General features: G+C 47.8%; 1 protein-coding gene across 7 annotated transcripts in view; it reads right to left on the bottom strand.

Moving 5' to 3' along the window:
- Positions 1–15,628, bottom strand: part of STK32B (serine/threonine kinase 32B) — a 481,604-nt gene that overhangs the window by 90,964 nt on the left and 375,012 nt on the right. For all 7 annotated transcript variants that reach the window (XM_047415924.1, XM_047415925.1, NM_001306082.2 and 4 more), the window contains one exon: positions 11,782–11,819. In XM_047415924.1, the coding sequence (XP_047271880.1) occupies positions 11,782–11,819 (38 nt within the window). The remainder of the gene's footprint in view (positions 1–11,781; positions 11,820–15,628) is intronic.

Here is a 15,628-nt window from a genome sequence, read left to right as displayed (position 1 = left end):
CAGGACAATGGTAAAAGGAAAAAAGAAGCCCAATCAAATTCCATGGCACTAGCTTATCCAAGCTTCTTTTGGCTTATGACAGTAGGAAGACTATGTTTTCAGCACATGTCTTTGCCTGATAAAGAATAAAATGAGCCTTTGATTTTTTTTCTGTTCCATTTAATTTGGCTTCCTTCTGTACCTTGGTCGTGGGGTAGGAATGCAGGGCCTTAAAAAATCATCTGTCTGCTCCAGGCTGCCCCCATGCACAGGTGAAGAGTGGAAAACAACAACCAGTGACAAGAAATGCAACATTTCTGGGCTTTACTGAGCTCTTTCGCTGAGATTTGGGAAGGACACTTCCATCCCCAGCTAATTCTGGTGCCCCCATGCCCTGTGATTCCATAAAGCCTGCCAGGCATGTGCCCCCAGTTTGAGCTGATGCTGCATGGAAAGCATGCAGTCCAAGGCTTTTGAGAGAGCTCAGAAATTTTTAGTGTTATTCCACCATTTCTCTATGTCCATGATTCTTAATGTCAAGCCAGTAGCTTCTGACGTTCATTAGTGCTGCAGAGCCAAGGCTCCCTGACTAATACACTTCCTTTCTATCTCACAGTATTGAGCATGTGATTTTATGAATCATATTAATCACAATTAGTAACACTTTGGAGAAGTTTTTGCAACGCTTTCCCTACTATGATCTACTCCTTGCAATGACTCCAGGAGGCACCATGCTGGACACTAGATTCTCACACTTAGCATCCTCTCCCACTCCTTTCTTTGCTACCTCCTGTATCACAAGAGCCAGAAGGGGGAAAATGCATTTTCTAACTCTCTTGCAGCAAGGGTTCTGGCCGAGATTTCGATTCTGCTGATGAGATGCACTCAGGTGAGACTTCATGAAAGCCAAGCAGAGGCCATCTTTTTGGGGGCAGAACAATCTCAATAGATGGAGGAGTTCGCTGGGGCAGGGCCTGTCTGAACATTGTCTAGTCATCCCATCCGTGGTGTAAACAGTTGAGAAAGTGACTGTCTCACCCAAGCTCCTGCAGCCAGAATTCAAGCCCCAGGTAGGTTTCACTCTGAGCCCCATTGTCTTCCTATTTCTTTAAGCCATTCTCTCTTGAGGGCAATGAAGCTCCGACAAGTAAAATGAACTAAGAATAGGCAGCTGCCCACGGATGGCACTGCCTCCACCCTGGGTCATGGGGTGGCAAGACCACTGCTTCCTCTACTCTGCTCCTAACTCATTCCATCATATGGGGCTCTTTTCCAGACAGGTGTGCCTCATGAAGACAGGGGCTAGGTCACATGTTTCTCCAGATCAGTATCAAATACTGTCCTGGGAACAGTGCATAATTAAGATTATTCTTACCAGGCCGAGCTGGAATCGGACCTAGTGTTAGCAGCAATATAGGAGGGAAGGATTGTCCTTCACTTTCAATTTCCACGAGGAGGGTGCATTAGTTTGTTCTCGCATTGCTATAAAAGGATACCTGAGTCTAGGTAATTTATAAAGAAAAGGGGTTTAACTGGTGGCTCATGGTTCTACAGGCTGTGCAGCAGGCATAGTGGCACCTCCTTGGTTTCTGGAGAGGCCTCAGAAAATGTACAATCATGGTGAAAGGCGAAGGGGAGGCAGACAAGTCACATGGATGGAGCAGGAGGAAGAGAGACGGGGGTAGGTGCTACCTGCATTTAAACAACCAGAGCTCACAAGAACTCAGTCATTCATGAGAACACCCCCAGGCTCTCATCAACTCCCACCAGGCCCCACCTCCAACACTGGAGATTACCATTTGACATGAGATTTGGGGGAAGACACAGATCCAAACCATACCAGAAGGATTAGTCCTAAGTACCTTATTAGCTTCTTTCCAGCCCTTCACTCCCCATCTCAGTCCGTTTGGGCTGCTGTAACAGAATGTCATAGACTGATTAACAACAGACATGTGTTTCTCACAGTTCTGGAGGCTGGGAAGTCCAAGATCAAGGCCCTGACAGATTTGGTGTCTGTGGAGGGCCTGCTTCCTGGTTCAGAGGTGGCAACTTCTTGCTGTGTTCTCACATGGTGGAAAGGGTGAGGGAACTTTCTGGGGTCCCTTTAATAAGGGCACTTATCCCATTCATGCAGGTTCCACCCTCATGACCTAATCACCTCTCAAAGGCCTCTGATACGGTTTACGTCTGTGTTCCCACCCAAATCTCATGTCTGATTGTAATCATCAGTGTTGGAAGAGGGACAATTGTAATCACCAGTGTTGGAAGAGGGACCTGGTGGGAGGTGATTGGATTATGGGGTTGGATTTCCCCCTTGCTGTTTTTGTACTAGTGAGTGAGTTCCCACAAGATCTGACTGTTTTATAAAAGTGTGTAGCACTTCTCCCCCACCCCCCAAACTCCTGCCATCCATGTGAGGACCTACTTACTTCCCCTTCACCTTCCGCCATGATTATAAGTTCCCTGAGGCCTCACCAACCATGACTCCTGTACAGCCTGTGGAACTGTGAGTCAATTAAACCTCTTCTTCATAAATTACCTAGTCTCAGGTAGTTCTTTATAGCAGTGTGACAACAAACTAATATAGAAAATTGGTACCAGTAGTGGGACACTGCTATAAAGACTCCTGAAAATATGTAAGCGACTTTGGAACTGGGTAACTGGCAGAGGTTGGAAGAGTGCGGAGGGCTCAGATGAAGACAGGAAGATGAGGGAAATTTTGGAACTCCCTAGAAACTTGTTAAATTGTGACCAAAATGCAGAGTGATATGAACAATGAAGTCCAGGCTGAGGTAGTGTCAGATGGAGATGAGGAACCTATTGGGAACTGGAGCAAAGGTCACTTTTTTTATGTGTTGGCAAAGAGGTTGGAGGCCCTAGAGATATGTGGAATTTTGAACTTGAGAGTGATGATTTATGGCATCTGGTAAAAGAAATTTCTAAGCAGCAAAATGTTCAAGATGTGGCTTGGCTGCCTCTAACAGCCTATGTTTATATTCATGAGTAAAAAAGTGACCTGGAAATGGAACTTATATGTAAATGGGAAGCAGAATGTAAAAGTTTGGAAAATGCAGCCTGGCCATGTGGTAGAAAAGAAAAACCCATTTTCTTGGGAGGGTTTAAAGCTGGCTGCAGAAATTTGTATGAGTAAAAGGGAGCTGAATGTTAACAGCCAAGACAATGGGGAAAATGCCTCAAAGGCATTCCAGAGACCTCTGCAGCAGTCCCTCCCATCATAGGCCTGGAGGCCTAAAAGGAAAAACTGGTTCTGCTGCCAGGTCCAGGGCTCTGCTGCCCTGCCTAACCTCGAGACACTGCTCCCTGCATCCCAGCCACTCCAGCTCCAGCCATAGTTAAAAGGCCTTAGATACATCTCAGGCCACTGCTCCAAAGGGTGCAAGCCATAAGCCTTGGCAGTTTCCATGTGATGTTAAACCTGTGGGTGTTCAGAGGGTAAGAGCTGAGGCTTGGGAGCCTCCACCTAGATTTCAGAGAATGTATGGAAATGTCTGGATGTCCAGGTAGAAGTCTGCTGCAGGGGTGGGGCCCTCGTTGAGAAATTCTACTAGGGAAGGGTGAAGGGGAAATGTGGGGTTGGAGCCCCCACAGAAAGTCCCCACTGGGGCACTGCCTAGTGGAGTTGTGAGAAGAGGGCCCACCATTATCCAACCCCCAGAATGGTATACCCTCCAACAGCTTGCACCGTGCACCTAGAAAAGCCACAATCACTCAATGCCAACCTGTGAAGGCAGCCGAGGGGGCTGTACCATGCAGAGCAACACGGGCAGAGATGCCCAAGGCCTTGGGAACCCACCCCTTGCATCAGTGTGGCCTGGATGTGAGATATGGAGTCAAAGATTATTTTGGAGCTTTAAGATTTAATGACTGCCCTGCTGGGTTTTGGACTTGCATGAGGCTCCTTTGTTTTAGCTGATCTCTCCCTTTTGGAACAGTTGTATTTACCCAATGCCTGTAATGCCCATTGTACCTTGGAAGTAACTAACTTGTTTTTGATTTTACAGACTCATAGGTGGAAGTTACTGGTATTGTCTCAGATGAGACTTTGGACTTTTGAGTTAATGCTCAAATGAGTTAAGACTTTGGAGGACTGTTGGGAAGGCATGATTGTATTTTGAAATGTGAGAAGAACATGATATCTGGGAAGGGCAGAAGGTGAAATAATACGGTGTGTGTCTGTGTTTCTGTCCAAATCTCATGTCTAATTGTAATCCCCAGTGTTGGAAGAGGGGCCTGGTGGGAGGTGATTGGATCCTAAGGGTGGATTTCTCTTTTGCTGTTCTCATAATAATGAATTAGTTATCACAAGATCTTGTTGTTTATAAAAGTGTGTAGCACTTCCCCTGACTCCTGCCAGCCATGTGAAGACGTGCTTGCTTCCCCTTCACCTTCTGCCATGATTATAACTTTCCTGAGGCCTCCCCAGCCATGCCTCCTGAACAGCCTGTGGAATTGTGAGTCAATTAAACCTCTTTTCTTCATAAATTACCCACTCTCAGGTAGTTCTTCACAGCAGTGTGAGAATGGACTAACACAGCCGCACCTCCTAACACCATCACCTTGGGGATTACAGTTTCAACCTTTGAATTTTGTGGGGACACAAACATTCAGACCATAGCACTCCCTCACCAAGGGAGGTGAAGTGATGATGTGACGGGTGAATTTAGGGTGAGCAAACTGGCCCTACTTAGCTTGGCTCTGCCCAGGTTCCTCTTACCAGGAATGGGACCTCTCTCCTGGTCCTCCAAGCTCTTGGTCTGACTTGGGCAGTCCCTCACTCCACACAGGCAGGGTTGGGGATCTCGGTGGTGAATCTGCCTCTATCTGGGTCCCGTGCTAGGAAGCCCTTACTAGGTCTCACACACATCCTAGCCTATTTCTTATTTGTGAAAATCCCCACTTTGGGAGGCCAAGGTGGGTGGATCATGAGGTCAAGAGATTGAGACCATCCTGGCTAACACGGTGAAACCCTGTCTCTACCAAAAATACAAAAACTTAGCCAGGTGTGGTGGTGGGCGCCTGTAGTCCCAGCTACTTAGGAGGCTGAGGCCAGAGAATGGCATGAACCTGGGAGACGGAGCTTGCAGTGAGCCGAGATGGCACCGCCGCACTCCAGTCTCGGTGACAGAACGAGACTCCATCTCAAAAAAAAAAAAAAAAAAAAATCGCATACAGAGAACACAGGGGTGTTATGAATTTAATTGAGTCCCTTTTCCTCCAAAATTCACATACCAAAGTCCAAATTCCCATTACCATAGAATGTGGCCTTATCTGGAAATAAGGTCATCACAGATGATGAGGTCATTATGCTCCCAAGTGTTATGGGCCCGGAGCGAGGAGGGTAACACGCCTGAGTGGGATGATGATTTCTCGGAGGTTGGTAGATTAAGAGACCAAAATATGGAAGAGGATATCCATGTTGATGAGGTTGGATTTGACTGAAATGTGCTATGTCTAGTGAATGAATGAATGTACTATGTAATGTTAAGGATTTTCAGTAGTGGTCGATATTCGTGTGGGACTGATTTGTATGCAAATGTATAACAGTTGATTGAGGGATAACTAATACTTGCTTATATACACACATTATGATGAAGTCATATTGAAATGGGCTGGGCCCCAAATTCAGTATGATGAGTGTCCTTATCAAAAGGAGAAATTTGGACGCCGACACGCACACAGGGAAAATGCCATGTGAAGAGCAGAGTTATGCTGCCACAAGCCAAGAAGCTGCCAGAGCTGGAAGAGGGCCCTGGAGAAGAGCCTTTCCCACCCACTTCAGAGGAAGCAGGGCCATGCTGACACCGTGATCCTGAACTTCCAGCCTCCAGAACTGTGAGACAATACGTTTCTGTTGCTTAAGCCTGTCAGTTGTGGGGCTTTGTTATGGTAGCCCTAGAAAATACAGGGGCCATTTGCTGGTGTCCTCAGTGTCTCACATACCATGTCTGTAGGACTTTAATACCCTCCCCTGGCACAGTGCTGCAGCAGAAACCCCATTTCTGGCAGCTCGCTGGAAAGAATCTCACTACAATCTTCCCCAGGACACGTAGAACAGCTTTAAAGTGCATTACTATGTACTTATCCTTACAGTCTTGGGACCCATATGGTTCCAAGACATCCACCACTGGCTCCTCAGGCTTAACAGAAACATCTCAGTCTTCCATCTTGTATGAGTGGCTTCCTCTCCCTTCCTTCTCAACTGCTACAGTCCCCAAATCTGATGCTTCACAAGCAGTACATGCCTAATTTTTTAATTTCCTGGAGTCTCTTCCTCCTGGCATGCTGGGGGTAGCACATACAATGCTTTGACAAGAGAAAAGTGGGTGCTGACATGGATGGCCATGGCCATTTTGGGGAGCACTCATCACATTTATCAACAAATATGTTAGCAACAGATGGAAAGGCAATTCTTTGAAACGAGTTCAGTTAATGAGTGTTATAAAATACAGTGTATTAATAGAAAATGTGAGGTACAATAAGGCCACCAGATCAGGAGATGACTGATAGTTTGTTACAGTTCCCAAGAATAGGGCGCAGGCTATGTCATGGGCAGGGGAGACAGGGAAGCATCAGGGCCGCTCAGGAGGATGGGGAGTGGGGAAATGTGGGCCAGAGCCTTTATTGTGGTTTCCATGGGAAGGAATGGGTGAGGCAAGGTTAGCAGACTTATGATTGACTGGTCTGAGTAATTTCAGTGTGCTCTGGGTTTTAGGGGCTGTCTCTAGTTGTCTGGTACCTAGGGGAATTAGAGGAAGTGAGGAGGGGCCTGGAACATAAAATTCCTAGGAGAGCGGATAAAGGAGGTGTTGGGGGTATGGCTCTGGATTGGTTGGTTGGCATCTGAAAAGTGTGCCTTGGGGCAGGTTGTTTACCAGCCCTAGGATTGGCCAGCCCTGGGCAGGGCAGTCCATCAGCTTAGCAAGGCTCCAGAGGCCAAAGCTTCAGAATACAGAAAATACAAGAAATGGAATATTAAATAAAGAAAACAAATCCACTCTGACCACGCGGCTGCTGCATTGCCAGCTGCTGAAGATCCAGGTCAGGTTTCTGAATCCCACTGTACCCATCCCACGGCCACAAGAAATGAGTGTGTACCTCTGGAATGCCTACTGACCTCCGGCATGCTTCAGAATCCAATGTACATGTCCCTTCCTCCAGGAAGCCCTCCTGCACTACTCTCCTGGCCTCAGCCACCTTCTGCTGCCCCACAGCCCCATGCTTGCTCTGTCCTGGCCTTGACCCCAACGGGTCATCATCAATTGTTTACATTTCCACTCCTCCCACAGCCTTGGCTGCAGATTAGATCCACCTGGGAACTGTAAAAGATCCCACTACTCAGCACTCTGTCCTGTAAGAGGAATCAAATGAGAGCTTCTCAAGGTGGGGTCTTAGGACCCAGGTGATGTGCCACCAGGACAGAGAACAGTCACCCCAGACCATGAGTTCCTCGGCCACAGGGACTCTGCCTTCTGTGGTCACTGGACACAATGCCTGGCCATGGCAGGTGTGCAACAAGCGAACCACTTCCCAAAGAGGACGAAGACTACATTCTTTATGGTCATCATAAATGACCTTTGAACCAGGGCCCTCAGTGGCACTTAAGTGCAAAATACAGCCTCTTTCCTTCTGTCTCTCACTCTTCTCTCCTTGCCCACCTTTGGGGAAGTCCACCTCCCATGTGGAAAGCACTAACCCACCGGCCTGTGCCTGTGGCTCCATCCATTCCATTTCCACTGGCCTCTTCCATCACCCTCCTGTTAGGCAACTGCATTAATGGCCTCAATTGTTCACCCCTCTCTGGATCACCCCATTGCCATGTGCCTTTGCAATGTCTAGTCTCTCTGACTCTAGGTTTGGCCAAGTGACTCGCTTTGTCTCCTGCATTGGTGGCAAACACGACACAGGTGGAGGCTTGAGTGGCTGGGCTCTCCTGCTCTTGCTCCTGCTATGGCCATGAGCAGACCATGCAGATGAACTTGCAGGGGATAAGCTCAAGGAGCAGGGCTGAGTCACCCGGCCAGCCAGCCAAGGCCAGAGGGGATCGGCTGACAGCCAGTTGAGCCTCAGACATTGGAGTGGGTTTAGCCAACATCAACAGTCCTGCCTACCCAACCTTGGTCTTAGGAGCAAGCCCAGCCAAGATCAGCCAAGCCCAGCCTAGAGTCCCTCAACCCCAGGATGCTGTGAGCTAACGGGATGTTTTTTGTTTATGCGATTTAAGTTATGTGGTTCATTACCCAGCTTTATTGTACCAATAGAAAATCAATACAATTGCTTCCCCCCTCCCTCTATGTCTTTAAATTCCCCATTGTCTTGATCTTATGATCCTCAGCCTAAAATGCACTCAGCTCTTTTCCCTGCCTTGTTCTGAGATGCTGTATCTTCTTTCACTCTATTTTACCTCAATGCGTGGTATCTCTCTGCTTTTGCAGCTGGCTCAGAGACCTCAAATCTCAGAGCAGAATGAAAGTGTCCATTCCAAGACATAAAACCCTGAAAGATCAGAAAGTAAGGCAGACACTAGGGGAGCAGAGAAGCTTGTGAGAGATGCTTGGATTTTGTGTAACTAGCAGATTTTGGACATCATTAATAAAATATTAATGCATTTGTTTAATTATGTTTATATTTCATTTGAAACACAACTGACCAACTTGTTCTCTGAGAAAGTATTCAATGCAACCAATGATGGAACTCTTGAAATAGCAATACACAGTTATTGGTTTGTAAAAGGTTTTGTCATGCAGTTTACAAAAGGTGCAAGTAGATGCCAGCACGAATGGGGTGCCCTTAGGACTCATTTAGGAACACATACTGTCCTGCTCATCTTATGGCTAGGTCATGTTTCACAGTGAAGGTTTTGAAGGCATAAGATTAATTTTAAATGTTATAAACCTACAAAATAAACTGCTGTTGTATTCCTCAAACAGCCATTCCCCTCTTGTTTCTGCAGTTCTGCCCCACTGTCTCTACCACCTGTCCATCCAGGCACCTTCCTCTGTTTGGCCTTGTCATGCCTTCAGGATCCCACTGTCATGCGGCTGCCTCTAAGACAACCCCGCACACACCTTTCCCTCTCCCCTCTGCCCGACCTCTCCTGAGCTTCCCCACACTCTCCCCAACACCATGAAACCCATCAGCGTTGGGACCCTGTTTGCCTTGTTCATCATTCTGTTAACCAGAACTTGGCACACAGCAGGTGCTCAAGAGATGTTTACTGAGGGAAAGACAAAGGCAAGAATGGCCAGCTTCAGGCTCTGCTCAAAAAGCCGATCAGCTCCCCTCAGAAGAGCAGGTAAAGGAGGGCCATGGGCATAGAATTCTCTCTTTCTCTTCTCTCCCCAGAAAGGAGACTCTTCTTTTTCTGAGCGGAATTCCCTGCTCCTAAATTTCTTTTCTGTACCACCTGCAAAGCCACTCATTGAGTGTTGGAGTGGGGAAGGGTTATCAGCCATTCACCTCACAGTATGAAATATTATATTCAACGCTCTGTCCCACCAGCTAGCAGAGACTTTTCGATGAAATGGGAGGCTGGAGAGGGAGAAGACTGGATGCAGGGGCACTTGGGGAGTGTGTGGGGTGCTGCATAGCCAGAAGGCAGGGCTGGGACACTGTGAAGGCCAAGCAGGGGGTGGAAAAAGATGAGGAGCTCAAGGGGGCAGAACGAGATGCAGAAAGAATGTGGGGAAGGCTGAGGTGGAGGCTGAGAATGGGTACAGAAAGGGAGGCGGAATGGGATGGATGGAAATCCAAAAGGCAGGAAAGAGAAAACCTAGGGGAGGCTGCCTGGGAGCAGCCCGCCTGCCTATATCTTTTGTGCAGCAGCTTCAGGGGAGCTGTGGCCAAGGTCTGTGAGGATGGAGCCAGAACTATGAAGCCAGGCAGTCCTGGGTTACCCCCATACTCTCTGTGTCACTTTTCCTCATCAGTGCAATGGCTAGCTTATTGCTATTGATGTTTCTGTCTGAATTTTGCTTCTGGACCGCTTTGCAGGGCCAGGAAGTCTCCCCCTAGCGGTCTCTCTTAATAGGACAGAGCCTTGAGGATGCTGCCTGGAACCCAGCCTTCCAGACCCCTGCTTTCCAGACAGCTAAGCAGAACCAGCCTCTGTGTTTTCTCACCTCTTTACCCTGCTTCTGTGATTTGACCTTGCCTGGCCCTGAGCAGAGAAAGGGGACAGGAAGAGGGCGAGTTATCTACCCCTTCCCGAGCGCTTGCATACTGTGATGGGTGGCTGACCTTCGAGTCTCACCCGAGATGAGACATTCACCACCCTGCAAGGTGGGTCAATTACTTCTGCATCGCTGCTGGGAAGGCTGAGACACGGAGGTACAGCCACTGGCCCAAGGACATTCAGCTGGCTGGGGGCTCAGCTGAGTGCCACATCTGAAGATCCTGACTTTTAGATACAAACTGGAGACGTTGCTTTCGCTTCCTTTCCAGCCTTGATTTGGATCCTCAGCTCTGTCCATGCCCCAGGCATCTTGGGGCTGCTGCTGACCTTCCATTCAGGAGCACAGTGAGTTCAATCCTACTGCCCCCAAAGCACTTAGTCTGGTTCCAGCATCTGATGCAGAGATGCAAATGGTCCCATCCACCACTCCTGTACATAGGGATGCACACTATGAGGTTAGGATGCCCCAAGCTATGCTGCTGGCTCATGGAAGGTTCGAGAGGAGCTCTGAGATAGAACCATGACCTCAGCCTGCAGAGGTGGGGAAGGAGGGTGGGGGAGCTGCGTAGAAAATGTGACTCATTCATCCCTGAAGGCCTCAGCAGGGATGAGAATCCCTACTTCAGAAGAATTCGCACCTGCTCCCTCCAGCCAACCCCATGTTAGGCCCTGAGAGACGGGCCCCTGAAGCAATGCCAGTGAATTTAGTTTTGAAGGCTGTAAGTCTCCTGTTGGCATCAGCCACAATTGATTGTCAAGTCCACTGAGCATTCTTGATCTGAGCCCTAGGCTCATGGTTCTTAAACTTTGTGGGCATTCCATCCCAACACAGGACACAGGATCCAGAACACAGGAGCCCAGGCTTGCTGAAGCAGGACCGGGCCTGACCTCTGATTTTTACCAGGTCCCCCAGGTAATTCTGGTAAGGCCAGAGTTGGAGAGCCACTGACTTGGTGCCTTGCTACTCAAGGTGTGGTCCATGGACCAGCAGCATCAGCCACCTGGGAGCTTTGCAGACTCTGGACTTTGCAGAGTCTAGTCCCATCTCAGACTTACTAAATCAGTTTGAGAAGATGCCTAGGAGATCTGTGTGCACATAAAGGAAATTTTGAGAAGCCTGACATAGCCGATAGATGAGTAAATGCTTAGTGGATTATCAAGTATTAAGCTCTGCTTGCTAGAAATGAGTGTGTACTCTCATTTCACCCTCATGAACACCCTGCAAGGGAGGTGCCTTCTCCCCAGTTTACAGAAAATTACACTGAGGCTCAGAGAGGTGGGTGACTTCTGAAGCCACACGTTCATAGGTGAGGGAGTTGGGGTTGGAACCCCGGGCTCATCCTCACGGCGGCCCTGTCCTCCTCACACGGGGATATGAACAGCAATGACTTCAGATGCGAACAGTTTAAATAACTTTGATTCAACTTACCACGGCAGGACATGGACCAGAAATTTACACAGATGTTGATCCACCAGGATTGAAACAAGAGAAGGTTTCTAGCCAATGCTAATGTCCAACTCAGCAAGACCCAACCCCCACCCCCGCACTATTTCCCAGTGCCTCAAACTTTCCACTGAGAGTCCCTGTAAAGGATTAGTAGCAGGCTTACCGTGTTCATCCAGCAGGATATTGTCTGGCTTGATGTCTCTGTAAAAGAAAACAAAGAAGCTGGCAATGTGGTTCCTGAGCCCACAGATGAGCACATAGACAAGCACCACATCAGGACAAATGCTGGAACACCCAGGCTGCTCACCTCTCCCTGACCTGAAGCCTCAGACATGGAGTGGGAGAATAATTGGTAAGATAATGGGACACCTGTGTTCTTATCGCCTCTTCTCTTTCCTGGAAGTGCAAGTAGATTGTTTGAATATTTTTTCCTGAATATTCTTAATTTTTAGCCTCTCAGCTCCAGCTGTAATGGTAACAGCAGTGACTGCTCACTAAGCATGTGATCAGCACCAGCAAGGGGAAGCACCTGCCCACCTTGAGGTAGCTGAGCCATCCCACCAGGGTTCCCTGCAGGTGTCATGGCATCCACTCGAGCTCAATGAGGGTTTGGAAGTTGTCATGGTCAGAGATGGGCAAACTACGGCTCTTGGCCAAATCCAGCCCTGGGCCAGTTTTTGTATGGCCTGGGAGCTAAGAATCACTTTAACATCTTTAAAGCACTGTAAAAACAAAACAACATATACACGTACACACACCCACAGACACACAGAGGAGCACGCAACAGAGATTAATGTGGTCGTCAAAGCCTAAAATGTTGATTATCTGCCCTTTATGGAGAAAGTTTGCTGACCTCTTTTAAGGGTAACATAGTGACCCACATGGGACAAAATCTGGGCAGAGGAGTTTCTGGAAAGGTCTTCTCTACATCACCATTATAGCAAAAGGCCTCTCAATTCCAAGTGAAACATTCTGAAGGCTGAGGCTTTGCTTTCTTTACGTCCACATGCCTGTACCTAGCACAGCGCCCGACACAGTGGTAGACACACGTGAAACACCACTGAGTATAAGGATGGAGGAATGAAAGTGAGAGAAGAACAACTTCAACCCCAGCTTACTTATTATTGACGTGTACACACTTGGCGAAGCTCTGCATTAAAACCATAGATTTTACAAATGCATAAATTTTCACTCATTTATAACTAATGTCAAATCTACTGAGACTAATGATAGCTTTCTTCAAAATAAAGAGCAACTGCTCCTGAGTTTATCAAATATTAATTCTACCTGAAAACACACTGTGGTAATTTGTAGTAATGCAATGCAATATCTACGGGTTTGGGGATGAAAGAAGCGCTCAACCTATACATTTAAATTTTTATTTTCATTGTGACTTTTCAAACCCATGAGTACCGAGGAGCATTGAGTACGTGGGCCCCTGCTGCCGAGGTCACAAAGCCTCCACTGTGAACAAAGAGATTACCGCAGAGACCCGTAGGGAGCCACATGGGAGGGATGAACTTGAGAACTTATAAAATTAAAACAAAAGGCAGAAGACCTAGAGTCAAGTGCGGATGAAGTCAGCAAATGCTTGGTCCCTGCCCAGGGTGGCTCCCAGCAGGGTTTCTCAACAAAAGATGAGAAAAGAGATAATAAAATACATGTCAAGAATGAAAACACAGCAGCAAATGTTCAAGCTTATCTCTTAAGGTATCACCGGGACTGAGATGATTTAATGTGTGGTGTGGGGACCAGGGAGGAGATGGCTGTGGCCCAGGGAATGTGAGCTACAAAATGCCTACAAGGGCCACAGCCTAAAGATAGAGTTAGAGTCAGGACACAGGTGAGGTGAGGGTGGGGTGACAGACCCAAGAAGATGTGATCTGGCGTACTGGGTTGAATGGTGTCCCTTCAAAATTCATGTCCACCCAGAACTTCAGAATGGGACCCTATATGGAAATGGAGTCTTTGCAGAGGTAATTACTTAAGGATCTCAAGATGAATCATCCTGGATTTAGGGAGGACTCTAAAGACTCATGTCTTTATAGGAGGAAAGTAGGGGGAGGGATTTGGATGCAGGCACAGGAGAGAAGAAGGCCATGGGGAGATGGAAGCAGATACTGGAGTGATGCAGCCATGAACCAGAAACGCCTGGAGCCACCTGGAGCTGGAACAGGCCAGGGGCGGATTCTCTCCTGAACCTCCAGAGGAAGCACAGCCATGACTCCTCTTTGATTTTGGACTTCTGGCCGGAATTATGAGAGAATAAATTTGTATTGTTTTAAGCCACCGATTTTGCAGTAATTTGCTGTGGCAGTCCCCGGAAGCTAACACAACTGGCACGGTGGAAGGAGAGCTGATAGAGTTGAGGGCAAACCTCAAAGGGCAGCTAGGGCCCCATTAATGACAGCATGGCCTTGGACAAGCCCAGGGCCTGGCCACGCCCCCACATCCACATTGCACCGGCGCACATTGTCTCATATCCTGAGAACAGAATGGGGCACGGATGTGGCCACCTTGGTCCCTAGACCCCACAGAGCCAAGGAAAGGGGCTGTTCTGTTTGGGAGAATTCAGCCCATGATCTAGACAGTCTGTGTTCCAACTCCAGTCTCACTTTTGACTACCTGCATGATCTCTGCCTCTGCTTCAGTTTCCTTTGCTGTGTGGATTAAATACCTGATACATAACACACATTGCTTCTGTGTTGGCTCTTAGCACAGAGTGGAATCTCAAGCATTTACGGGGGTGTCCCCTTTGCGGTCATGAAGGACACGTCGTGAACAAGACAGACCCAACTGAATGGAGCTTGCATTCTAGGAAGAGAGGCACACCAGAAGGCACATGAATCAATGGCAGGATTGTAAGTTGTGGCAGGTGAAGAAGGCAAACCAGAGTCTAGAAAAAAGACTAATAGAGGGACCCTAGTTTTGGTAGATGGTCAGGAAGACCTTTAAGAAGTGGTGACATTGGGTTGACATCTGAATAGCAAGAAAAGGCCAGCTGTGCATCATGTAGTGAGCAAGTTCTCATTTTGCAGATGAGGAAGTAGGAGGATGAGAGAATAAATGATCTCACCTGTGACGTGGTCCTAGCCATGGAAGCTGACAAAGGTGATGGGTGTCACCCCCTTAATTCAGTTATGTTACAGGGCAAACTTGGTGGGATGGCAGTCCCGGGATTATGTTACATTATATGACTCTGTCTTGGCAGACTGGAGTGAGAGCTCAAGACATGAGCTGCTGTGTGGAGCCAGCCACACGGTGGGGAATGTAGCTGTCCCTGGGAGGAAGAGTGACCGCTGGCCTATATGTAGCAAGAAAACGGGACCCCAGTCCTGCAGCCATAAGAGCTGAAATCTGCCAACAACCACAAGAGCCTGGGAGAGAACCCCACCCCATGTTCCAGAAAGGAGTGCAGCCCGGTGGGCATGTGGATTGTAGTTTTGTGAGATCCTATGCAGATGATCCAGTTAAGCCCACCTGGACTCCTGGGCCACGGAAATGGAGGGAAAATAAATGTGAGTTATTTTAAGTTGTTAAGTTAGTGGTAATTAGTTTCACAACAATAGAAAACTAATTCTCTAGCTATATGATCTTGGGCCACTTACTCTCAGCCTTGTTTTCCTCATTTGGGAAATGGGAACAGCAACAGCCATCTCACTGTTGCTGAGTGTACAATGAGATGACATTTGTTCAGCACTTCACACAGTCCCAGTGCAGTGTGGAAGAAGTGCTGAAATAAGTCACAGTGATGGGACTGTCATTGCTCTTTCAAAAGGAGCTAGGGAGAACTCAGAGGCAGACTGGCAGATTCTTGAGCCTTTAGCAAATTAGGTCTCTTTCACAGGAGACTGCTGGGCAGATGCCTGCAAAGCAGCGTGGAGGAGATGGAGAATCTGAATCACTTGGGATTTAATAAGAATAGCATTTTATGGGTAAAGCATCTTAGCAGAGCCTTTAGTTTAGCCAGTTTCAGGACCGTTTCCTCCAGCTCTATTTTTCACATTGAT

This window comes from Homo sapiens, chromosome 4 (genome assembly GCF_000001405.40).
Source record: "Homo sapiens chromosome 4, GRCh38.p14 Primary Assembly".
Taxonomy (NCBI): domain Eukaryota; kingdom Metazoa; phylum Chordata; class Mammalia; order Primates; family Hominidae; genus Homo; species Homo sapiens.
Note: the sequence above shows the minus strand (reverse complement) of the source record. Positions and strands in the feature narration are given on the sequence as shown.